At 34.3% G+C, this 27655-nt stretch overlaps 1 protein-coding gene and 1 long non-coding RNA gene across 8 annotated transcripts in view; both read right to left on the bottom strand.

Annotated features, from left to right (window-relative positions):
• The window catches only part of SLIT2 (slit guidance ligand 2), a 368657-nt gene that overhangs the window by 203374 nt on the left and 137628 nt on the right, over positions 1–27655 (bottom strand). The window lies entirely within an intron of this gene.
• SLIT2-IT1 (SLIT2 intronic transcript 1) lies at positions 22332–24999 on the bottom strand. Its single transcript, NR_037876.2, has 4 exons — positions 24925–24999; positions 23735–23838; positions 23529–23622; positions 22332–22659 (listed from the first exon to the last, which is right to left on the bottom strand). It is a non-coding gene; the product is annotated as an SLIT2 intronic transcript 1 (long non-coding RNA).

Raw genomic sequence — 27655 nt, 5'->3', positions numbered from 1 at the left:
TAGGCCCTGACATATAATTTTATTTAATTTCCATGATCACCATACATGCTGATCTCCTAATTCTAGAGACAAGGTAATGAAGGATGAGGTCAAGTAACTTTCTCAATACCTTACTGACTAGTAAAGAGGAAAGCTCACATTTCAAGTCAAGGCTTCAATCTCTTTCCATTTGTTCCTGTGGTCACATTTAAATGTGTCGCACTTGAGTGAAAAAAAAAAAAAAAAGATTTGATAGCAGTTTTAAAAAATTGGCATGGAGGAATTTCCTGTGGCTGGAAGAACATAGAAGGCAAGTCAGATACACTTAAGATCAGGCTTAACTTGTTTAACTGAACAGGGACATTTTTCCAATTGAGGCTAATGTGAATTGAATGAAGAACTGAATGAAAGACTTGTTCAGCAGGAATTGTAGTTTTCCTCTTTTTGTGAGAACAATTTAGCTCATTCTTAAATTTCTTAATTGTTTTCAAGCTTCTGTTCGACTTTATTAATGGGATTTATAGTCTTTTAAAAAGCACACCAGAGTAAGCACTTTTAAAACAAATAATCATCTAACATGAATTTTAACTTTGAAAGTTAAAGGGCAGGAGTTGATACGATTTTTTTTTTCATTTAAAAATACCTGAAATGGAGCATTTTTCTCAGTATCTCAGAATCATTACACAAAAGAGGGTTTTATGGATTAAATTGTGTCTCCCCAAAATTCATATGTTGAAGTTCTCACCTCCAGCGTAAATGTATTTGGTGATAGGACCTTTAAGGAGGTAACTACATTAAATGAGATAATAAGTAATGAGATAATAAGTATGTGGCCCTAATCCAATAGGAATGGTATAGAGTGCTTGCACAGAGAAAAGGCCATGTGAGGACACAGCAAGAAGACAGCCATCTGCAAGCCAAAGTCAGGAACCCGATGTCAAACCAAATCTGCTGGTGCCTTGAACTTGGATTTCCAGCCTCCAGAACTATGAGAAAATAAATGCTGTTCTTGAAGCTTCCCAGTCTGTGGTATTTTGCTATGGTAGCCCTAGTGGACGAATCCAGAAAGAATGACAATAATACATTCAAGAGTGACATTTTCAATATACAAATATCATGTTGATACATTTTCCAAAGATTTATACACATAAAATCTATAGAGTACAGGAAATAAATGCCTCAACAATGGCCAGGATATATTGTAAAATTGGTTGATTCTAATACTGTGTCATCACTAACTGAGTATCTATTATGTTCTTGGAACTGAGGATAAGAATTTAATAAATCAAAGACCCCGCTCACAAACTATTTATAATCTACCAGTCTGGAACATAATTTTATGTATCTTTGATAATATAACAAAAATTATGTTAAAAATGTTAAATCTCTTTGAGCTTCAGTTTCCTCATCTATAAAATGGGAATACAGAATCACTCTACATATGAACTACTAAGGTTCAAGCTTTCATGCTCTCTGGAAAGAGTGCACTGACCCTGCTCTCAGCCAAAACATATTGATAGCTATAATAAAGCTGTAGTAAAGCAACCTGGAACTTTGAGACAAATAGGTTTATTTACAAATTGCCTTATGGATCTTAACCCATTAATAAAGCTTCTGTAATTATTCCTATGTAAAGAATTAAATTTGGTAATATTGAAAAAATTAGTTAAGTGATCAAAATTATATCTGCTATAATTATAATAACGACACATTTTAACATTAAATATTCACTTCTCCAAGCTGTACCTCCCAGCATTCTAAATATTTATAAAGCCTTTTTTTTTTTTTTTTTTTTTTTGAGACGGAGTCTCCCTCTGTCACCCAGGCTGGAGCGCAGTGGTGCGATCTGGGCTTACTGCAAGCTCCGCCTCCTGGCTTCACACAATTCTCCTGCCTCAGCCTCCTGAGTAGCTGGGACTACAGGCGCCCGCCACCACGCCCAGCTAATTTTTTGTATTTTTAGTAGAGACGGGGTTTCACCGTGTTAGCCAGGATGGTCTCTGTCTCCTGACCTCGTGATCCGCCCGCCTCGGCCTCCCAAAGTGCTGGGATTACAGGCGCGGGCCACCGCGCACAGCCAGTATAAAGACTTTTTATTATCTGAAACAAAATATTTCCTTCTTCCACTGCACACTTATATAAATATTCAGTCAAAATTCATTAATCTTTGAGATCTGCTGAACACCATTACTGAGCAAAAATATGCATAAAGGGAATTCAGTAAGTAGAGGAGAGGAAAAAATAGAATAAAAATATTTAAATAAATACTGGCTGAAAACTTCCAAAATTTGATGAAAAATATAAATCTATACATCCAAGAAGCTCAACAAACTCCAAGTAAGATGAAATCAATGAAGTCCACACACAGACCCATCATAGACAATCTGCTGAAAGACAAAGGCAAGGAGAGGCTCTTGAAAGCAGTAAGAAAAAAGCGGACCATCATTCACAAGGGATCTTCAAGAATATTAATAGTTTACTTCTCATCCGAAACCATGGAGGTCAAAAGGCAATGAAATAACATATTTGAAATTCTTCAAGGGTGGGAGGGAAGATGTCATGCAAGGATTCTACATTCAGAAAAATACTATCCTCCAAAACATTGAGGGAGAAGCTTGGATATTTCCATATTTAACAAAACAAAAAAATTTTTAAAAAAGGTGTTGCTAGTAGATGTGCTGTAAGAGAAATACTATAAGGAGTCATTCAGGCTGAAATAAAAGGACACTAGAGGGTAATTCAAATCACATGAAAAAATAGAGAGGTAACTGTATAGGTAAATATAAAAGATAGTATAAATATATTTTCACAACTTTTTTTCATCTAATTTAAAAAACAACTGCATAAAGCAACAGTTACAAGTTGCCTTGTTAGACCTAGGATGGGTAAGGATGTAATCTGTATAACAATGACAGCATAAAGTAGCTAGGGGGACACAAGCTGTATTGGAACAGGTTTTGTATACAAATGAAATCAAGTTGGTATTTAATTAATTTAACAAACCCAATTATTATAAATGAAGAGGTTAATTGTAATCTGCAGAGCAGAAGCTAGAAAATCAAACAAAGCAAAATAAACAAATATAAAAACAAATTTCATAACAAGGGAATTAAAATTGCACCTTAGAAAATACATATTTTACATTAGAAAAGACTATGGAAGCAATAAGAGAGAAAAACACATAAAACATATGGAAAACAAATTCAAATAGCAAAACATGACAAATTCATTACAAAATGACTGACATAAATCCTAATTTGTCAGTAATTAAATGGACCAAATATTACTTTACTAAGTAAAGTACATGAATTAAATAATGAAATCAAAAGGCAGAGCTTCACAGAATGGAAAAACAAAACAAAAACATGATATACCTAGATGCCATATAAAGATACTAACTTCAAATTCAAAAACACAAATAGATTGAAAATAAAAGGATGGAAAAATACCTATTGTGTAAAGAGTACCCATAGGAAAGCTGGAGTAATAGGAAAAAATCTGTTAATAGAAAAAGAAGTATATTTCATAATTAGAAAATGATCAATATATTAGGCAGACATGAAAATCATTAACATGACACGTAAAAACAGAGCTCCAAAATAAAAAGCAAGAGTGGCCACACTTGAAATGAGAGATAAACAATTTATAAATTATAGTTGGAGACTTCAAAGCCAACTTTCAACTATGAATGGAACACCTGGACAGAAAATCAGTAACAAAATAGAAACTCAAACAACACTATAAATCAACTAAACCTAACAGACATCTATAGAATACTTTACGCAACAGCAATAAAAATACACATTAATTCCATATGCACCTGGAACATCTCCGGAACAAGTCTCAATTTAAAAGAATTGAAATAATATTGAAATATGTTATTTTAACACAATGAAATAAAATTAGAAATAAATAACAAAGGAAAATTTGGGAAATTCACAAATATGTGAAATTCAACAACATACTTAAATAAGCAGTGATTTAAGGGAAGAGAACAAAAGAAAATTATGTAATACTTTAAGGTGAATGAAAACAAAATCATAGCAGAGAAAGCAAAACACTGGATGCAGCACTTAGAAAAAAAGTAAATAAATGGAAAACATTCATTTTCATGAATCAGGATATTTACCATTATTACAATACCAATACTACTCAAACTGATTTACAGTTTCAATATAATCACTATTAAAATGTAAACTGATGCTTTTGCAGAAATTGACAATCTTAATCCTAAAGTTCACATGTAAATTCAAAAGATCCAGAATTGACAAAACAAACTTGAAAAAGAAGAAGAAAGTGATAGTACAGAAATAAGCCCTTACATTCATGATTGATTTTCCTAAAGGTCCCAAGACAATTCCATAGAAAAATAATTGTCTTTTAATAATGATTGCTAATGGGCTGAAGATTTCTTTTTGGGGTTATGGAAAATAGTCTTAAAATTAGATAGTGGTGATGATTACATAACTCTATGAAAATATAAAATCGCTAAATTGTATAAGTTAAAAGCATGATTTTTATGTTATATGAATTCCATATCAATAAAGTTTTTATTTAAAAATTTTATTTAAAAATTATGAGTAATAAGGTAACTTATCAGGCCTCAGATATCTGAAATAAAATGATGCTTGCATGACAAAATAGTATTTGCCTATCTACTCTGTTAGTTTACAGTATAAATATGAAAGATTTTATCATAGCATACAAAACAATTAATTTGGATTTTCTTTTATATTAAATCAGCAGTTCTGATATAGGTTGAGGATAAAAATAAAATATGCAGTAAATTGTTGTTGGAAAAACAATTTCTCTTATAAGATGATTAATTTACACTAAACTACACTTAATGAGTTAAGAGAATAAATCAATCATATAGCAAATATTGCATTTTATTCAGCTATACATCAAACCTACTGTATAGTAGAGGTGAGAATCAAGAGTCAGCAAATTTGTTCTTGATAAAAACATTGAAAAATCAAGAACGTGAGCATTCTTTTTTTTTTTAATTAACCAAGCTGAAAATGACCATCTTTTTGACCATCTTTCAAGAGTTAAATATAAATGCAGACATGTAAGTGTGTGTGCATCCCTGCATTTGGCCATGGCACAAACTGGGTCTGAGTCATAATAACCCTGAAAATATTGTCTTCCAAAGCCCATATCCAAAATAGTATAAAACGAAAGAATATTAATGATGGTTTCTCACAACTCTCAGTTGTATGAAAGAACATTAATGATGGTTCCTCACAACTCTCCATTTGCAGTAGGGTAGCTTCTTGCCTTCCCACACTCTCCTCTTATGCGGCTGTCCTCTCTTCCTCACTTTCCTGCGCTGGCAAGGGAGTGCACACCGAAGAGTTTTCAAACTCCTTGTGTCAAAATGACACACTAAAACCAAACATCTTAAAACATATTGGCTCAATCCACCCTGCATTTGCCTTTTTCCAGCTTTGCCTTTTCAGAGATGAGCACCTACTATGTGCCAGATGCTTTGAATTCTAATGTAGTGTAAAGATCATGGATTTTGTAGTAAGATTCACCTGGGTTATCTTGAAGCTCTATCACAGACTAATATGTAAGTGACCTAAAACAAGTCACTGGACCTTGCTGAGTTCAAGTTTCTTTGACTATAAAATGAATATAATCATACTTATTTCCTAGTAAGACACAAAGCCTGAAATGCAGCAAGATTCTAGAGTGTCAGTTTAGAGGTTTGGATGAGAGCAAGGACCCAGAAGCCAGACCCCCTGGCTTTGAAGTCCAGCTCCAATCCTTAAAAGCTGTGGGTGTTTGCCAAGTTATTAATCTCTCTAGTGCAATGTCCTCATCTATATACTGGGAAGATAAGTGGACCTCTCTTATGATAAGTTGGTTACCATTGTTAAATGAAACAATATGCTAGATGCATAGTAAGTGTTATCTACTAATATTGCTAGTTAATTAAAGGTACATAGAAGCTGAATGTGGTGCCTCGACAAGCTGTGTCTGGGCACACAAAAAATGAGGAAGCCAGTGCTTCAAAACATCAGGCTTTTTCACAAAAAGAATAAAATACCTAGGACTACAGTTAACAAGGGAAGTGAAGGACTTCTTCAAAGAGAACTACAAACCACTGCTCAAAGAAATCAGAGATGAAACAAACAAACAAATAAACATTCCATGCTCATGGATAGGAAGAATCAATATCATGAAAATGGCCATACTGCCAAAAGCAATTTATAAATTTAATGCTATTCCTATTAAACTACCATTGACATTCTTTACAGAATTAGAAAAAAATACTTTAAAATTCATATGGAACCAAAAAAAGAGCCCTATAGTCACAACAATCCTAAGCAAAATGAATAAAGCTGGAGGCATCACACTACCCAGCTTCAAATTATACAAGGCTATAGTAACCAAAACAGCATGATACTGGTATAAGAACAGACTCCAAGACCAAGGGAACAGAATACAGAACCCAGAAATAAGACTGCACACCTACAACCATCTGATCTTTAACAAACCTGAGAAAAACAAGCAGTGGGGAAAGAATTCCCTATTTAATAAATGGTACTGGGAGAGCAGGCTAGCCACATGTAGAAAATTGAAACTGGACCCCTTCCTTACACCACATACAAAAATAAACTCAAGATGGATTAAAGACTTAAATGTGAGCCAGGTGCAGTGGCTCACACCTGTAATCCCAGCACTTTGAGAGGCCGAGGTGGGCGGATCACCTAGTCAGGAGTTCGAGACCAGCCTGGCCAACATGGTGAAACCCCATCTCTACTAACAATACAAAAAAAAAAAATTAGCTGGGCATGGTGGCAGGCACCTGTAATCCCAGCTACTTGGGAGGCTGAGGCAGTAGAATCGCTTGAACCTGGGAGGCGGAGGTTGCAGTGAACCAAGATTGCGCCACTGCACTCCAGCCTGGGTGACAGAGCAAGACTCTGTCTCAAAAAAAAAAAAAAAAAAAAAAAGAAAAGAAAGAAAAGAAAAAAAACCAAGACTTAAATGTGAAACGCAAAACTATAAAAACCCTAATAGAAAATCTAGGCAATACCATTTGGGACATAGGCACAGGCAAAGATTTCATGACGAAGATGCCAAAAGCAATTGCAACAAAAGCAAAACTTGACAAATGGGATCTAATTCAACTAAAGAGCTTCTGCACAGCAAAATAAACTATCAACAGAGTGAACAGACAACCTACTCAATGGGAGAAATCTTTTGCAATCCATTTATCTGACAAAGGTCTAATACCCAGCATCTACAAATAACTTAAAAAAACTTACAAGAGTAAAACAACCCCATTAAAAAGTGGTCAAAGGACATGAATAGACACTTCTCAAAAGAAGACATACATGCGGCCAGCAAACATATGAAAAAAAATCCAACGTCACTGATCATTAGAGAAATGCAAATTAGAACCACAATGAGATATCATCTCACACCAGTAAGAATAGCTATTATTAAAAAGTTAAAAAACACAGGTGCTGGCGAGGTTGTGGAGAAAAAGGAATGGTTTTACATTGTTGATGGGAATGTAAATTAGTTCAACCATTGTGGAACACAGTGTGGTAATTCCTCAAAAACCTAGAGGCAGAAATACCATTTGACCCAGAAATCCCATGACTGGGTATATAGTCAAAGGAATATAAATCATTCTATTATAAAGATACATGCACATGTATATTCACTGAAGCCCTATTCACACTAACAAAGACATGGAATCGACCTAAATGCCCATCAATGATAAACTGGATAAAGAAAATGTGGTACATATACACCATGGAATACTATGCAGTCATAAAAGGGAATGAGATCATGTCCTTTTAGGGACATGGATGGAGCCAGAAGCCATTATCCTCAGCAAACTAACACAGGAACAGAAAACTAAATAGTGCATGTTCTCATTTATAAGTGGGAGCTGAATGAGGAGAACACATGGACACATGGTGGGGAACAACACACACAGGGGCCTGTTGTAGGGCGAGAAGTGAGAGGAAGGAGAGCATCAGGAAGACTAGCTAATGGATACTGGGCTTAATATCTAGATGATGGGATGATCTCTGCAGCAAACCACCATGGCATTTATGTAACCAACCTGCACATCCTGCACATGGTACCCCAAACTTAAAACAAAAGTTGGAAATTAAAAGGAAAAACATGGCAGCTTTCGTGAGCTGCAGTCTCTGATGGGCTTTAGCAGATCTGTGGTACTACAGAAATTACATGCAAATGCATATGAGCACAAGTGCATATGGGAGGTGGGGGTGGGAGAAGCAGCCCCAGGAGCTGTTAATTTAGAAGTAGATGGTATTCTTTCTTTCCATTTACATATTGTCTAGGACAAAGTGTCTGTATAAGAAAACTGTCACTTAAGTAATTATAGAGCAACACCATGAGCCACAGCGATGCAAACTCTGTTCTGTTCCAAGCTTTTCTTGGTTCCTCCAAGCAGCTGAGTCATTCTGTCCCCTAGGCTTCTCAGACTGCAGCTCACTCATCATTTACTCAAGGACTATTAGAGCGATAGAAGCTGGGTTTCCACAATGAGTGAGATAGAAATGGCCTTGATCCCAAAGTAACTTATAATCCAGTAGCGCTAGAAGGAGGTAAAAAAATAAACTAAAAATAAGCACATAATCACAAAAAACGAAGGTTCTTTGAGCACAGCAGAGTCAGCAAACTGAAATTTCGTCCTGCAGGGGAAAGGGGATCAGGGATGGCTTTGGGCTGAGATCTGGGCATAGTAGAGGCAAGGAACTCTCAAGCTTTCACCTAGAACAAAAAATCAAAATGTGCAAAATCCTAGGGTTCAAACAGACAAATTAATGGAAGGTCAAGGTCTGAGAAGGGGTTTGGCAAGGGCTTAGGGGCTGTGGTTTACATTCTTCTGGTGGAATAACTACATTTTTATATAAATGTTTTTATCGCAGTATTATAATCTCAGCTTCTTTCTCCTATCATCTGGTTATGAGTCCTTGGAGCTAGATGTCTGATGGTCTGGATATTACAAGCCCAGCTAATCGCTGAGATGAAAAAACTGTTTAATAAGCCTCTGTTAAACAAATGAGTAAAACCCGTTAATATTAAGCATACAACTCACTGTATTTTGTATGGAACTTTATAATTTACTTACATTTATCACTATTTTGATGCAGGTGGAGATAACAATAGTTGCTGATCACCACGGTTCTCGCATTTTTTCTCTGCTTTTCTATATGGGTTCCCCTATCACAGCATCTGCTTGAAAAGACTTGGTTATCTTGAGCACTGCCAATCAAAGTGTTTTGTTTTATTTTTGCTTTTGATCACAGAATAGGCCTTTCACAGTGCAGTAGATATTATCTTTGGTCCTTGGCTTTCCTCCACTATGCAAATTTTTCATTGGAAACTTAGGGGCTTGAACTTTCCAAAAAAATTTTTAGTTTTCCCTAGCTACTTCCACATCCAGAATTCAATCAAAAGCCTGAGACATCTCATATTTTGCTGAAATCACTTCCATTTAGCTTAACTCAAACAAAAAAGGTAGGCAAACAGAGATTTCACATTATATCCCTTGGCCTTCTGAAGATACTTTTATGTTCCTGCCAATTGAGTTTGCTGATGTTGTGCTGGCTTGTTTGGGACTAAGCTACTGAGACTCCAAAGTCAAGTTCCTCACAAATGCCTGCCAAGTAGCAACGCTGAAGGAGGGTAGTCGAAGAGATGGCAGGGCCAGGGAGGGGGAAGATATCATTTGGTAAGTCAAGGATAAATAACAAAAGGCAGGCGTTTCTAGAACATTTGTTAGTCTAGTTTTGTTCTTCATGAACTGAAAAATAATTATTTTTCCCAGATTATATTGACCGGTGTTTCTGTTTCTAGTATAGTTACTAAAAGAGCTGTTTTAAATAAGTTGCTTAGAGACTGTGTTGAATTTTAGAACAGTGTAATAAACAAACCTAAAAGTGCACAAATCATACATATACAGCTCAATGAAGCTTAACAAAATGGACTCATCTGTGTTTTTGCAGCAAGAAAACAAAACATTACTAGCAACTCCCTCCCCTATAACTCTTTTCAGTCATTTATCTCCCTAAAGGAAAAAGCAACTTTGATGTTATTACAGATTAGTTCTGCCATTTTTGAACTTTGAAGAAATAAAATTTATATAAAGGAAGCCATTTTGTGCCTGGATATTTTTTTGTTCAACATTATGCTGGAAGACTTTGTGTTGCTGTATGTAGCAATATTTGTTTATTGTTATATGATAATCCATTGTTCGAATATTCTCGTTTATTTTTTTGTATTTCATTGTTGATAGGACAGTTACATTGTTTCCATCTGGGCTTTAAACAATACCACCGTAATGAACATCCAGTACATTGTTTGATATACAAATATTGATGCTTTTGTTCACTGTATACCTAGAAGTGGCATTGCTAGACCATAGGGAATGAATAAGTTTAATTTTAGTATATACTACAAAACAGTTTTCCATACTAATTGTACTGATTTATGCCCCCAGTGGCAATGTTTGAGAGTCCTTGTAGTTGTATTGTCTTTTCTAACACTGGTGCTGTCAGTTTATTTTTTAAGAAAGTTTTAATAGTCATAGTAATAGATAAGTGATGGTATGTCACTATGGTTTTAATTATTTTCCTGATGGATAATAATGTTGAGCACTTTTTAATGTATTTATGAGCCATTTGTATATTCTCATTTTGAGTGCCTATTCAATAATTTGGTTCCTCTCTTTCGTTTTTATTGGGTTATTTGCTTTTATCTTATTGATTTGTAAGAGGTTTTAAAGATAGAGAATCTGTATGTAAATCCTTCAGTGGTTACATATATTACAAATCCCTTCTCCCACTCCTATTCAGGAAATAGTATCGTTGATAAGTTTTTAAACTTTAATAAAGTTGAGTTTCTCAATCTTTTCATTTATAATTGATGTTTCACATGTCTTATATAAAAAACAATAATGCCTAACCAAGGATTTGGAAACTATTCTATGATATCTGCAAGAAATATTATTGTTTGGTCTTTCATCTTTCAACATTCAATCTACATGTAATTAATTTTTTTGTAGGTCTGAGATAAAGAGGAAGATTCAGTTGTTTACCTGTGTAAATCTATTGACCTGGGACCATTATTGAGAAGATAATAATTTCCTTAAGGCAGGGAAAGAGACTGTAGTATCATACAAGGGCTGAATTAGCTCAAAAGTGACACACATCATATACTATTGTCCAGATCCAGTCACAGTGCCCAACTTCTTACTAATTGTAAGAAGACCAAGAACAGCCAAGGTAATGTTTGTGAATATTATTGTTGCTGTCATATTTTAAAAAGATAAAAATTACTCTTCTATCATATGAATATATGTATTCGAGTCATCTTATGTCCTAATATTGAGAAAAATTTTTAAATTAAATTAATTTAAAAATACCACATTCCTCTAAAAGAAAGAACCCAAATGGAGATTTTTTTTTGAAGAATTAGCCAAAAACAGAAATAACTGGTTGGTTTCCAAATAACATCTCTTATGGAAGCTTCATTATGGCCACCATGGACCACTGAGTCTACTAATACCACCTTCCATTTGGGTTAAATTTGATTACAATAGCCTCCATGTTTTCCTGTTGATAATCATGGATTTATAAAGGAGTGAAGAACGGCAAGCACAAAGATTATTATGTGCCAGACACTATGCTTTACACTCTCACACATCTTATTACTTAAATAACAATCATGAAAAGAAAAAAATGTTTCTGTCCTCCTATTTCTTAGTATAATATAAAACAACTCCCATAATACAAATTCTGTGTTTTCACCTTTTTTCCTAGATTTCAAAACTTTCTGAGAATTCTAAGAAATCCAATTAGACAATTATCTTACTTCAACAGTTTCACATAAATACAATCCAAAGGGAAGCAGGACATACTCAGTGGTTGAAGAAAATTTCTTTATTTTCTTAAATTCCTAATGTATGGATTTAGAGTATGTGATACATTATTTAATGCTATATATATATATAATAGGCAGTGTAGTGTATATGTTAAATCCTAATTATTATGCATCACAACTGCCAACCCAAGTAGATAGATTATAAACTTTTTGGACAAAGAAATCATGTGTTATATGTATTTTTTAAATTCAGAATATCTGGCATAGAACATGTACAAACTTAGCACAAGAAGAGTCTTTCTCCCTCACTTCAAAAATCAGAGAATTATATACAAATAAAATCTTTTACAGAGGTTCATAAAAATGTTATAAATCATACTCCAGAAAAAAATACCAGTATTTCACAATATTGTATTAATGGTAGACCCTTTAAATGCTATTTCTAGTCATCTGGACTCATACGATCTTGTGAGTAAACTCTCAATTCTTTACAAGATACTGTAATGATTTTGTGGATATTAAGTTTCTCCTATATAAATACAGATTCCAAGCTATTTAGAGCCTTTTCTACATTTGGGTATAATTTTATAACTATACAGAAATGTGCTGTTTTGTTTAAATATGTAGGACAGACAAGGATTTCTAATAATTCTAGGTTTTCTGGGCAAGATTTCCCCTTGTTCATTCATTCATGCATTCATTCGTTGGTGAACTTTTTCGAGCACACACCTTGCACCAGGTTTTGCACTGGATTATTAGGAAATACATGTAATAACTGCTAACACCCACTGAGCAGTTCCTATGTGCTAGGCACTTTTCCAAGAGCTTCCCTTATAGGAACACTCATTATCCAAAACTTAACCTTATGAAACTCGGAGAATTAAGCTGCTTGTCCAGGGTCACAAAGCAAGTGAGGGATAGAGCAGAGATGTGAATCAGGGATATCTTATTTCAGAGCAAGAGTTTATAATGACTATGCTACTCTTCCCCTACTCTCAGGCTAAGCAACAAATTGAACAGTGTTCTAGAAAATATGTGAGATTGTAATATAGGGGACGTTTAAATCATAGCCTAGAACATCTGCTTAATACACTTAAGAATTTGCTAAGACACAATAGAAACTAGTAATAGCTTCTTAAAAAATGTAAAATGTATCATCAGACTTCATTCTTCATTACATTCAGATAGTATGTTCTCTGTTGTTGACTAAGAATGCACACACTAATGAAACAATGATGCAACTGAAAAATTGTAAAGGCTTCAAAATTTAATGACAAACTGTTCAAGTCCACATTTGGACACTGCTGTAGATAAATAATTCATCTTTATTGAGGCAAAGTTGACATTTCATGTTTGTATGCGGCCCAATGAATCTATCTTCCAAACTTCCAACTTATGGGTGTTTGCTTTTGTTTTTGTTTTTTTTTTAAGTCCAGTTAACAGCCATTAACTTGTCTTCAATGTCTTCATTGAATGAATAACAATTATAAAACAGAAAACTGCTCTACCATAGCAAATTAAAATTTTATGTAAGATCTGCACCTGCAAGGGGCCCTGACTATGACAAGTCTCTGTGAATCAAATGTTTTGCTAACGGAGCTTATTCATTTGTATCAAAAACACAGTCGACTCTTGCCTAATAGAGTCATTCCTTCTTTGCTAATTAAGACAGTACCAAATAAATAAATACATAAATACATAAATAAAGTTACTTATTCAGTCATGAGCACTGAACGCTCCCAGTAGGTAGTCTTTTCTCAATTCAATTTCCCCAATGGGACTAGAAGAGGAAATGAAACAACAAATTGTACTCCTGATGAACTAAGCAGAAGCTGTTATTCTACAGGGAGCCCTGCTAGGTCAATTAGTTCATCATGCTAACAGAATAACAATCCAGCAACCAATGCCCCAGCAACGGAGGTTCAAAAAAGTGAAATTCAATGGCCTCTTGTAACACTGTCTCCAGTGAAAACTGCTGGGAATTGGTGTATGGTTTGCCAATAGTATGTTTCAATATATGATAACTGAGCAATGATTCATTGTAAGGCAAAATAAAAGCAGCATTGCCTTATTATATATCTAGATTAATATAGTTACAATCTAGATGTATTTTTCATTTGATGGCACTTGGATTTTCTGAATCAACTTAAAAAAATGTATGACATAGCAATATTTTAAATTAATATGATTTCTTTCCATTTTCAAGTTGCATCTGGATCCCAAAAGATTAAATAGAGCCAAACTTCATTTTCACAAGCTCAACTATTTTAAACATGTATTTGTTTAACCAACAAGCTTTGGATATAAATGTAATTTGATATGATTATTAAATGCACTATTATAATGAAAATAATTTAGATATATCTCGAGAAATTTGAGAATTTTATATAAATAGTATTACTTATTTTTTTAATAGCAGTATCATCTTACAGCTATACACTATTTAAAGCTTATAAAGTACTTCAACTTATATTACCTTCTTAGGTATCTCAATATTTTGTTGTTTAATACTAAAAAAGTAAAATTCTTTATTAAAAAATTCAAAATCCTTTACCACGCTTTAATTGAAAAAATATGTTACCTTATTACCCCGTTATTTTTCCACATTTAAATACTCGAGGCAAATTGTGTAGGGTAGGAAGTATGGAAAAATGTGATAAAGGAAACAAAAGCTATATTAGTTGGGTAATGCACATGTTAAAATTAACATCCCATGTTATTCCTTGTACCTAGATAAATAAATTTTCTCCCTTATCACAATAATACTATATTCCTTTTATTTCTTTAGGCTGAATAGGTAATATACTCAGTTAAATAACTGAATATAGACAACTTACAAAGTACTACAACAATAAATATAACAAACATGAAATTTTCAAGAGCTGGTTTTTTAAATAAGCGATGAATTCATCTGTTTCCATAGCTTTGTTTTTACTCCAACAAAAAAATTAAGCTAGTTGATGTAATTCAAGTTTCATGCAGATAAATCAACTTTGTTTTTTATTCTGGCTTAATAAATGACTGCCACTTAATTTTCTTAGGTGCACTGAAAACAACTGAAAAATAGTGTTGGGGGAAGAGTAAGACTTAGGAGCCTTTTGAGTCTTTGGTTCAAATTTGGGTTCCATGTCTTCCCAGCTATATGACTCTAGCATGGTACGTATTCATGCTGCCCATACTTCCAGGACCAACTTCCTGTCTTTTCCTTTTATCTGCTCAGTTACCTTTAGGATACCTGTTCTTCCACTGCTCTTAGAGGTTCAGAGTGTCCACACTTCCCACTATCCCTCTTTCCCCTAGAGCAAAGGAGGAATACGTATTCAAGGATCGCCAATCAAATGAGAAAGAATAAAACAAAATACTTTAAATAAAAATTTTAAAAAATTAAAAATAAATCTAAGGACTCTCTAAACTGCCATAAAACGCTCTCTGATAAAACAATAATTTTTATAAACTAAGATTTATTAAGTGTGATGCTGTAGGCACTGCGTAAATGCTTTCCCTGTATTAACTTGTTCAATGTTCACTACCAACCTGTGACAGTGTTATTCATTTCCCATTTTTAGATGAAGAATCGTGAGGTTAGGTAACTTAGTCAAGGTCTCACTATTTGGGATCATACACAGGCAGGAACACCATTCATAATCTCTTCATTATGTCAAGTTGTAGAATGTAGTTTAGACTTGAGGTTGAAAGGGATCTTCCCACTCTGAATCTAGGTCTTGGAACTGCTCACAGAGGTAAGTGAACCTACCCACCCAGCTGCGTGGCTAAGCATGCAGATTTGCTGGATGAAGGGGTCAGAATCAGCATGTTTTGTGTCTGAAGAGCCCTCTTCACAAGCTTTGTCTCTCACAGAGAGACATGATGCAAAATATCATTCACCAAAGGCAGAGGAGAAGCAAATGAAGCACAAAGCAGGAAGCCAGATAGTTAAAAAGGAAGAAGCCAAACTGGCTCTTGCTTTGGAGGTACAATATTTTAGCTTGCTAGCAAAACTTGTTTCAACAAATGTCCAGCTCTGATCAACATGATTAATTATAGTTCTTCCCAAGAACTGAATGGAGAGACAACGTTCTTTCAAGACAGTGTCCTTGTGGTGATTGAGACATGATGAGATGGGAAAATCATTCACCTTTTACCAACAACTTAGACTTTATTCATTTCTATCAGGCTTTCTGACTTCAATTCTATCCTTAGTCAGAAGATGATGGATGAGAATAATGATGAAAGACCAATCAACTTAGATTCAGTGGTTCATCAAAGCAGCTGTATCTCTACCATTAACCTAAACTTGTTTATATTTTCAAGCTTTTGTTACATGTGCCCTAAGTAGCTCCAACCCTAAACAGATACAAATCATCTTAGCTTCTAAGTACTATGGAAAAATCTCAGAGTTCAGTTATATCTGTATAAAATTTATGGATACCACCCTTGAGCAGGATATACTAACACATGGCAATCCACATGTTTATCTGAAATTCTCAATTCTTCTCAAACTTCTGATCTCTTTCTTAGACATCTAAGTCACCACATTCCCATGGATTCCTCTTTAGCTTCCTTTATTAGTTCCTCCTTCTTTAACTGATCATTAAATGCCCGCATTCCTTAGGGCAGTAGGTGCTCTTAAGCGCTTTTCTTTGTTATTCCATATTCTTTCCTTCTCCATAACTCAATCCAGTTCTATGTTTTCAATTTCCATCTCTATTTTATGACTCCTAGATTTATGTAGACAGTCCATAGTTTGCTCTAAGTTCTAGAGTAATCAAGAACTAATTTGAAAAAAAAAAGTCTCATGCTCAACTTATGAACTCCCCTATAGCTAAGGCTATATCTCATCCTATATTTCCTATCTCATTTGTGTAAACCAGAAACCTTGAAAACATAGTATACTCATCTCTTTTTCTACCTACCTATCACCACATTTTACCAATTACATCTTCTAGGGATTCTAAAATCTATCTTCTTTTCTTCATTTCTATGGCCATCCTTCTATGCCAGGATGCTAAAAATCCCTCTTCTATATTACTAAATTGCCTCCTCATTTCTCCACACCCACTTTTACCATTCAATTAATCTTCCCCATATCATACTCTGACCATATCAGTCAGAATAACCATCATAATAAGACTTATAGGATTTATACATATGCTCATTAAGCCAAATTCACACAATAAAGTAGAAAGTCCCCCTCCATTAAAAGATACAAATCTAATAATGTCACCTTTATGATAGTAGGAGAACAATAACAAAACCAAAATGATTTAGGGTACATAAGTTACTATCCTTAACAGGAACTCTGGGTTCTATGAGATCATTCTCTTTTCCATCTCCTGCCTCACATCACACCTGTATTTCTCTTCAGTCAGTGCATTTATCTTTAACAACATTATCCTCATCCATCATCTTCTGATGCATCTTCTGAATGCTCAGACACTCTACTGTCTACCTGGGACATTCCCTGGAACTTATCCCTCTCAGGTGGCTAAAACCTTCATACTTTGGTCTCAGTTTACTATAGCTCTTCAGTAAGGGTGGTTTTTGTGTGATAAAGTTCTAGGAGAGACACCCTCTTACATAGTGTAATATCACTGTAACTTTTTCCTTGTAGCAATTAATTGTTTGATATAACTCTTACCTACCAGACTGTGAGCTTTCTCAAGGGTACACCTGCAACCATTTTAAGTATTAAGACCATATTATAATGATTGATATGCATTAGGTACTCAAGGAACACTTGTAGACTGAGTCAATAAACAAAAATAGGGGAGAGATTAGATTCAAGTAATGCATATTCAATTATTATTCCGATCACTTTACATATATTAACGTAATTAAAATTCACAAATACCTATGAAGTAGTTACCATTATTAGCCCTATTATATAAATGCAGAAACTGAGGATCAGAGAGTTTATGGTTCGCCCAGGGACACACAGCTCCTAAATGACAAAGCCTGGATTGAAACCCTGACTGGTTCTAGACTTAAGACTGTGGTATAGGCACTTTTATTGTAATATTATCTCAATTAAAATTCTTCTGTAACTTGAACAAAATATTTTTCTTATATAAATTATAATTGTGAAAAATTATATTATGCTACTATTATTTTATAATCCAGCCATAGCATAAAAGAATAAAGTTTTACTTACCCCATTAGTGCAACATTTGATATAAATAATTTTTTAAATAATTTTTTTACCATATTTAATATTTTTTATTTTAGTAGGCTCATTTAAGCTGCTTGGCATGTTTTACAAGATTGCTTGAATACCACAAAGTACGCTTGTATCATCGTACACTTGTAGCATCCTAAAACTAACGCTTTATTGAATGTTCTGTATTTTGAATTCAATGACTGTCTTATATATAGGTTTTTCATGGGTTAAATGTCCAATTAATTTGAAGTATAACTGCATGAATTTATAATATCATTAGAATTTTGTATTGTCGAAAGGATAGACATTATTGACGGAGCTAAATACAGAGTTAAAATATATCACAAATGTTAACAAAATATAATTAAATATTCCAGAATTAATGGAAATTATAATTGATAAATGACACTATAATCCACACATAAGCAAATGAAATATACATTCAAACAGAAAAATTAAAACCTAGAATCAATATAAACATGGATGGGATGTTTATTTCTACTAGTATTGGGGAGACAAAAACAATACATGACTGAGTAAAAATCAGAGCATGTTGTCTGGCAGCTAGCGAGGAAAGTGCCAAGAAGAAACCTGCGATGATAAAAGAGAGTCCAGCTGAAAGTAGATAAAACATCCTCCAAAATTCTGGCCATAAAGTTAACTTCTAACTTCCTGATTTTCAGTGCTATTTGCAAACACGGATAACTCTGTTCTCTTTTTCAAATTCCAAATTCTGAACTCACTTGTAGCAACTGTCTCTATTTCTTGATGTCTCAGGACTCTCGAACCAGCTTCAGTCTGTGATGTTAATGCTCTGCTAAGACCACTGAAGCCAGTAAGGCCAAATCAAATGCAAAGACCCTTTTCCTCATTTTGCCTCTGCAGAGAACCAAACCAAACAAATACAACTCTGATTTTTCTTGAAACATCTCCATCTTCTGTTGTTCCTTCAGTTTTTTCTATGCCCTCTCTTGGGTCCTCTTTGTTCTCTTGCTCAACCCCACTTTTCAGGGATCTCAGCTGTCTTTGCACTAATAACTCCACCATCACTTCATCTGTTAAGAGCTTTCTTTCCTGAGAGCCACAATCTCACACTAGGTACCTCATGTACCTGACTTCATGGGTATCTCACAGATGCCTCAAACATAATATATAAAAACTGAAATCATTCTCTACTCACTCGTCTGTACTTTTTCCTGGAGACTGAAATGAGTAAATGACTGACATCCCAATGGCACTGCACACCATGGGTATCATCTTTGACTTCTCCCTCTACTTAGCATCACAGAAAGTTAGTTCTAGATCACATCTGGGATAATGTGTACAATTCCGACAACCACATGTGATTAAAAAACAAACTTGAAGCCGTGTGTGGGAGGACAGTGGGTATATGGGAGCTCTCTGCACTTACTGTTCTATTTTTCTGTAAATGTAAACTGCTCTAAAAATAGTCTCAATTTAAAAAATTAAAACAGGAATAATCAGAGGATATTATTGGCAACTGCAAGATATTTAAAACTATATTATGTATAAAACAGGTATATACACCTGAAATGCTCATCTTGACAGAGAAGATTATGACAATTTATAACTGCCTTGCAAAATTGTAGAAGAAAAGGAAGATGTGTGTGGTTTACCCCATGAAAACAACGCAGCATTCCCTGGAAGAAACTCCAGGGAAGCAGCCTTCAGTTTCTTATGCAGAACAAACTAGTAGATAATCAGCTTTGAGAAGCAGTGAACTACTAAATCATTTATACAACACAGCACTTTCAGGCTTAGGAAGTGCTTTGTAGTATCTGTTATCCTATTTAATTAGCATTAGAACTCTGTTCCTAGGTAGTAGGACAAATACTGTTATCCTCACTTTATCAAAGGGAAACAAAGACAATGAACTTTAGATTATTTGAATGATTTTGTGAAAGTTAGTTAGGTAGGTCCCTGCACAAGAGCACTTGAATAATTCTTAATACACAGGGTGTCTTACCCACTAAACTTGTGATACTCTGGGGGCTCCCACTAGCATGAAACAAGTCTTCAGAAAATATGAGTTTAACTAATAAATGAATTAATTAATCACTTCATGCATACATCAAGCCAGGATTTAATTCCAGGCCTTTTAAGTTTTAACAAAGAGTAATATATAATTAGATGACTAATATTATGGAAATATATGCGTAAATTAATCATTTAATATTCCATATTTTGATTGAATGATAATCATATATTTACCATGAGTAAAATTTATATAAATTTACAAATATAAATATAATTTATGTATTTATATATTAGGTGTGTATATTTAATATGTATATCTTTAGATGTATATATTTAAATATTTAAATATATATGAAATATGTTCTCATATATATGAGAACAAAAAAAACCACATATGCATACACAAAGGGGTAAAAAAAAAGAGATAAATAGGGGTGGTTTTGTCAGTCATACAATATACAAAATCCAGAAAAGAGAAAAAAGCACAGTTAATTCTATGAGTATCGCAATGAAGAGAACACTCAGAGGACCCTGAATTGCTCTTTCTCTAGCCCTGCCTCTCCCTGGGGTATAAGAAAAAAGATTAGGTTTTTAAAAGAACTCTTTTCACTTATCTGTACTTATTTTGCAAATTATCAACCTTTCTGGTAATAACAACACCCAGAAACAGAATTATATGACAAGTATATGAAAACAACCAAGCATAAAGCATTTCATCCAGTTTTGTAACTAGATGAGGGGTCTGTAGACAGCATGGCAATTCAGACAACAAAGTGATCAGTCTTGTGGTAGTGGAGAAAAATATCTGAACATTAATGAGCTATATGATTACCATATCTTCTTTATTTTCATTTGTGCCTTCATTTATTCTTTTAAATATATGAGAATAACTGAAAAAAAGTGCTGATGACAGTATCTTGCACATAATAAGGCCTACATGGTGTTTGTTAAATACATACACACATACATTTATATGCAGACACATAGCATTTATTAAATTCTGCTGTGTTAAAAAATCAGAGATATAAAGGTAGAACAATGCCATTATCCAATTTTGTTTTTGTTATTATATACTCTGTGCCAAAACATTTCCAAGGTATGTACCTGGATGACAGAATATAGTAATGAAATGTAGTTTGGGGGGGTACTTTTAAATATTTACTACTAATAGTATATTCTTGTGATCTACCTTTTAAAAATACTATTTTACTTATATTAATTTTACTTTGTAATGTTTAACATTAGTAAATAAAAATCATTGTCTAAGGTCTCTCAAAAATGTCAGCATCACATAATAAATTGCTTGAAAAAATGTGTGTCTTTGTTACTGTTAGTTTTCTTTTAAAATTTTCAATACTTGTGTTTTAATAAAGGTATAAGTTAGGGGTTAGCTTGTAACATTCATATTTTTAACAGCTAAAGATTGGTCTATATGAGATCAGTTGAGTGGTTTAAATTTTAAAAAATAATGATCTGTGTTAAGAGCTAGCATGTAGCTATTTATAAAGGTAATGTATTTTATTTGCATTTTGCCCAATGCTTTTTTGGTATACTATTTATTTGCACTTCAGCCAATGATGCTATGATTATTTAAACTGACCAGGAAAGATAATTAAATAATAGCTCTCCTCCATACTGTTGCTGGAACACTCTTCAAAATAGGTAAATTATATCACATCATATACCTCCTGAAGAAAATACCTCAATGGTCCCTAATCCTATTGAATAAAATCCATATCCTTTGTTCCATGCCCTCAATCAGGTTCCTGCCTATGCATTTGAACCTTCAGCAACTCTGCCCCCTGCAGGTACCTGACAAAACAGCCATCTGAAGAAGTTAAATTTCCCTAACCACATTCCTTTCCATACTCCAAATCTCTGTGTGTATTCCTCCTTATGCTGGGAGAGGGCAACAAAGCTCTGCTCGTCCTTCACATCTCGGCCCAGGATTTACCTTCTAATTCTGTCATATAGCAAAACACCCACTCACAAATGCTTAACGTTTAGAAGATATAGATAAATCATAATTATGTAATTAAAATGGCAATATGTGGATGGTCATCTATTTAAGGTAAATCTATTTCCATCTTGTTTATCTTAGAGTAAAAGAGGTTTGGGACAGGTGTATGCAAAAAATAAAAAGCAATTATTTCTACCAGAGACTCTGAGTCATCACGGCTTACTGTCCAAAAAAGGCAGCCACCACCACCAACAACAAAGCCTTGTGATTATTTTTTCATAACCAGCTGTGCACTATCGAGATAAATAAAGAAAAAGAAATTACTCTGTTCAAGATTACTGCCATCAGCTACTATAGTATTAGACCTCAGTGTTTTATTTACAGAACTCCCTATGGATAAATGATAGAATGGCATAATGAGTATACAAATGTCTTTTCAAGAATAGATTTTGAAAGCTGTTTTTATAAAAATGCCTTCTGGCAGAATTATCTAAATGCACAGTGCAGCGTGCTGACAGTCAGGAGGCACAGTAACACAGAATGGCTTTGTTGGCTTCCAATTGATTCAATCCTGAGTAGCATGAAAAAGGTAGAAGGTAAAGTACTTCAGAAAGGTTTGGATCTCTCGCTCCATGAGGTCCTGCAGTTGGAAGAATAGCAGGATACAGTGCAGAGTTGTCTCCTATTTAGAAAAAAAAAATCCCATTTGAATAGACAAGATTAGTAGGTGGCTTGGAGAGGTGTAATGCTTTGGATCACATGCATGGGGGTAAAATCTTATTATTCTGAAATGGTAGCCTAACAAAGACTCTAAACAAGGATTTTACATAAGTTCACATTTAAGGGAAACTTTTAAATAAAGTTCCATACATATTTCTAAGTAAAGACTGAGAGACACATTTTTTTAAACGACAAAATGATACCACGTAAGCTTATGCGATACCAATTTTCAAGGCTTTATTTTCCTTTCCTTAGTAGTTATATATTTTCAAACTCCTTTTTCATGTTTTTTTTTCATTGAAAACCCTTTTACCTGCCTGATTTTAATTCAAGGATCATGAATACACCATCTGAAGTAGTCAAATGATGGAGGTTCTCACACTTCCTAGTTCAGCCACCAAATATTCTTTTACTGTGTGATTGAGGCTGATGCTAATGCAACTAAGTCATCATAATTATAATAAAATACCACCATGGCCAGCTTTTATTAAGTCATGCTGTGCAAAGACAATCTGCATACAGATCCAACCACAACAGGACGTGATTGATTCAGCACTGCTGGCTATCCCAATAAAGATGCTGCCCTCAGTCTCTGTGATCACCAATACAGCCAGTGTTAATGCACGTGGCTCACAAGGCAAAACAACCCACGCAGTTCAGCTTGACAAGCCATGAATTTTCAGTGATGAGCATAAGCTTTCAAAGTCTATAAAATGACAATGGCTTCATCCTCTTATGTAGGAAGCTCTTGCAGAAAGAAAAGAATGAAAGAAGGGACAAAATGAAAGCATGCCAGCCTGAATTATAGTGTCTGGAAAGCTCATAACTTACAGGGCTTAGTCATGTATTTTCCATTCCAAGGTACACATGCACGTAATACATGCAGTGGAGTCGGGTGAACCTCAGAACAAGCCTGGTGTTTTTTCTAAATCAACCAAGAGGGTGAACATATGATAAAAATCAATTAGTCAAGGTTTTAAAGATATTAAAGATTTCTAAGATTCAAGAGCAAAAATTATTTATTAAAAAATGCTCACTAGCAACAAGTGATAATGCCAGCACTCGTCAGAAGATAACCACATTATCATATTCGGAGAATGCTTCCCACTGGCTCCAGATCCCATTCCCAAGGGTCAGGATTCTGGGGGGAATGGGAGGAGAACAGAAATGTAATTAGGCTTCTATTTGCTGCTTCATAGGCTCTCAAAATGGAAGAGATCAGAAGAAATCCAAACGGTATCAGCAAGAAAGTTCTCATATGTATCTTTAATTATCATACAGTTATGAGCCATATAAAGACGTCTCAGTCAATAATGGATCGCATATACAATGATGGTCCTATAAGATTATAATGGACCTGAAAAATTCCCGTCACCCCGTGATGTGGTAGTCATTGTGACGTCTTAGTGTAATGCGTTACTTAAGTGTCTGTGGTGATGCTGGTGTAAACAAACCTACTGTGCCACCAGTGATATAAAAATCTAGCACCTAATATTATGTACTTACAGTACGGTGTATGTATTTACTATACTATACTATTTATCATTATTTTAGCATGTACTCCTACTAATAAAAAAAGTTAACTGTAACATGGCCTCAAGCAGGTTCTTCAGGAGGTACTCTAGAAGAAGGCATTGTTATCCTAGATGACAGCTCTTTGTGTGTTATCGCTTCTGAAGACATTCCAGCTGGACAAGATATGGAGGGAGAAGACAGTGATATTGATGATCCTGTGTAGGGCTAGGCTAATATATGTGTTTGTGTTCTAGTTTTTAACAAAATTTTAAAAAGTAAGAAAAAACATTAAAAATAGAAAAGCACTTATAAAGATATAAAGAAAGAAAAACATTTTATACAGCTGTACAATGTACTTGTGTTTTAAGCTGTGTTATCTTGAGTCAAAAATTATAAATGATTAAAAAGTTTGTAAAGTAAAAGTTACAGTATGCTAGAGTTAATTTATTATTGCAGAAAAATAACTGTAAATAAATTCAGTGTAGCCTAAGTATATAATATTTATGAAGTCTACAGCAGTGTACAGTAATGTCCTAGGCCTTCACATTCACTCATCACTCACTCATTCAATGAACGATGCAATTTCCAGTCCTCCAAGCCTCATTCATGGTAAGCACCCTATACAGGTGTACCTTTTTAAAAAAATCTTTTACACCATATTTTCACTGTACCTTTTCTATATTTCGGTATGTTCAGATACATAAATACTTACCATTGTGTTAAAATTGCCTACAGTATTCCATATAGTGCCATGCTGTATGGGTTTGAAGCCTAGGAGCAATAGGCTATTCCATATAGCCTAGGTGTAGAGTGGGCTATTCCATCTAGGTTTGTGTAAGTACCCTCTATGATGTCACACAATGACAAAATCGCCTAGTGATGCATTTCTCAGAATGTATCTCCATCGTTAAGTGTCATATTACCGTATATAAAATTCTCTCATGCTAACAACTGGCATACTATCAATTTCTCCTGAAGAGCATAGGTATAGTACTCTGCACTGAACTGATGAGTGATCTCTGGTATCGTTGAGAATCCCACATTCTCCTCTTACCTAGTACTTGGTTTCTTCCTCTAGAAGATGGCACACTAGTACTATCAATGATATCCATTTTGAGGACTTTTTTTCAAAAGAAGACTACGTTGTCTTCAAAACAAAGAAAAGAACCATATAGATATCAAGCCATCTTTACTAACTCTATCTTTTTAAATAATCTCATTCAGAAACTTCTTCTGACAACATAAGTCAAGTCAGGAACCATCAGAACCTACAACTCAGAAAGATAACCAGGTCGCCAATCATTTACTCAACTATTCCACCATCCAGTATTGTATGGTTGAATCAGAAATCGTGCTAAAACATGTTTTTAACCTGGCACTTCAAAGTATTCACATTTTCAACAATATGCTTTCAGCAAATGAATTGTGTCATGAAAATTCCAGCTTAAGTCTAAATGGATCAGCCATAAAGGCAAATTATCTGTTGAACAATATAGTCAGCTTCTGTAAAGAATGTACTTTCTATGCCAAATATGATCTTTCCACAGTTGAATAAACACTTGGTGCAATGAAATTGCTGGCAGTCCTCTTGGTGGTTTCTGTTCGTGTGTATTTCCCTGACTGTTGTATCTCCATCTCATACACTTTGCCAGTCATTCAAAACAGTTATTTCATGCATCAGGAATATCAAGATGCTTTTGAGATGGGTTATGTGCATTGTGGCTGATGCACTTTTAAAAACTATCAGGTTATCACCCACCAGAGAAGCCTGGAGAAACATATACATTATTCTGCAACAAGTTCTGTAATTTACATAGGTAAAAGGATTTACCCCGACAATTCTAACCGTTTTTACAAAAAGGCTCTTTGGCCTTTAGAGTCAAATAGATATTTATGATAAAAGCAACTTGTATGCATACTTCCCTGAAGCACAGTATGTTTTCCATCTTTAAGTGGATTATTTATGGGCACCGTAAAATTAAAATTCTGGAAAAAATTATGTAAGATTATGCATTCAGATACTTTGTGTATTTTTTCCAATGAACTTGAAATTTAACTTGAAAGTAATCATGAACTTTCAAAGAATTTCATAGCATACAATTAAGTAATGAATTTCAGTAATTTACAATGAAGTAAAAAACCAAAGGTCTGTTTTATGGTATTTGGGGAAGTCTAATTGTCTTAGTATATATATATTTTTTTTTAAAAAAAAAAAATAAGATCTTTTTCTAAAATGTTGAAAATAATGACTTTGAAAAATAATGTGTTGATATTTTCTTTTACATTTAATCATACTCCTTTTAATAAATTTTAATCCTAAAATGCCAATTAAAGCAGCACTACTTCTAAATGAAGAATACAACAAAAAAGGAAACTAGTCATTCTTCAATGCAGCAGGCCGACAGTGCCATAGGAACTTTGTGATGTCTTTTTCAAATGACGTTTCAACTCAAACTACTAGTGGTTTTAGGAACTCACTCCATGCCCCAGAACCCCTCTGTCAGAAAATATCAAAGCCTATACAGCTTGCATCCTAATGTTATCTCTGTATTATTTTTCCTATCATCCACTGCAAAGCATCAGTCTTGAAAATTCTGTGATAGTACTTGCCTCACGCATGTTTGTAATTTATATTTTAAGATGCTTATTGGTGAAGCAAAATCAATAGTGTCAATTATTCAATGCACGGCAATTTTTTTTGTATATTACTTATATACAATATTTTACATTTCCATCAGACAGCTGACTTTGCATTTAATTAGAATAGTGAGGTTACATTTTAGAATAAGGTATTCTGATGCAGCAAGACTTGTCTGACCTATAAAAGTGATCCAAGTCTCTAGCAGAGAAATATATTGGAGTTACATGTACACATTCTTTCTTGATACGGACTATGATCAAAGAAGTCTGGAGACCCCTGGAGAGTTCTGAATTTTAACTTCTTATAGAGCAAAACCTCATTTATCGGACTGCACAAAGCTAGCTGAGATTCTTAGATGCAAAGAATAGAAAGCTGGATAATGTAAGCAAGGAGAGTATTTATCGGATGATTGGAAAACCAAGGTCACAAGCAGATAAGAACTAAGAGAAGATACTTGTTTTGTCAAATATCAGACATTAATACATGTCTGGCAATAGAGCCTCCATTGCTAATGATAACTGACTTTGCTGCCACTGGTACCTGGGTGTTTCTACAGCTACCACAACTACTAGAATAAACTCTCATCTGTACCTCCTCTTCACATCTGCTCCTCATTCAAAGTACCAGATAGGAGTATGTAATTGGCTGCAGATAAGTCTTATGCTCACCTCTGGTTGCTAAAGCTTCAAAAAAGTGAGTGTCTGGCCCTTTGCATTTTTGTTTTGGAAACTATAAAAGGAAAAACTAGATTATTCTGTAGCCACAAAACACTCTCAAAATCTCGGTGGTTAAAAAAAAAAAC

This window comes from Homo sapiens, chromosome 4 (assembly GCF_000001405.40).
Source record: "Homo sapiens chromosome 4, GRCh38.p14 Primary Assembly".
In the NCBI taxonomy this organism is placed as follows: domain Eukaryota; kingdom Metazoa; phylum Chordata; class Mammalia; order Primates; family Hominidae; genus Homo; species Homo sapiens.
This window is presented reverse-complemented; position numbering and strand designations above follow the sequence as displayed.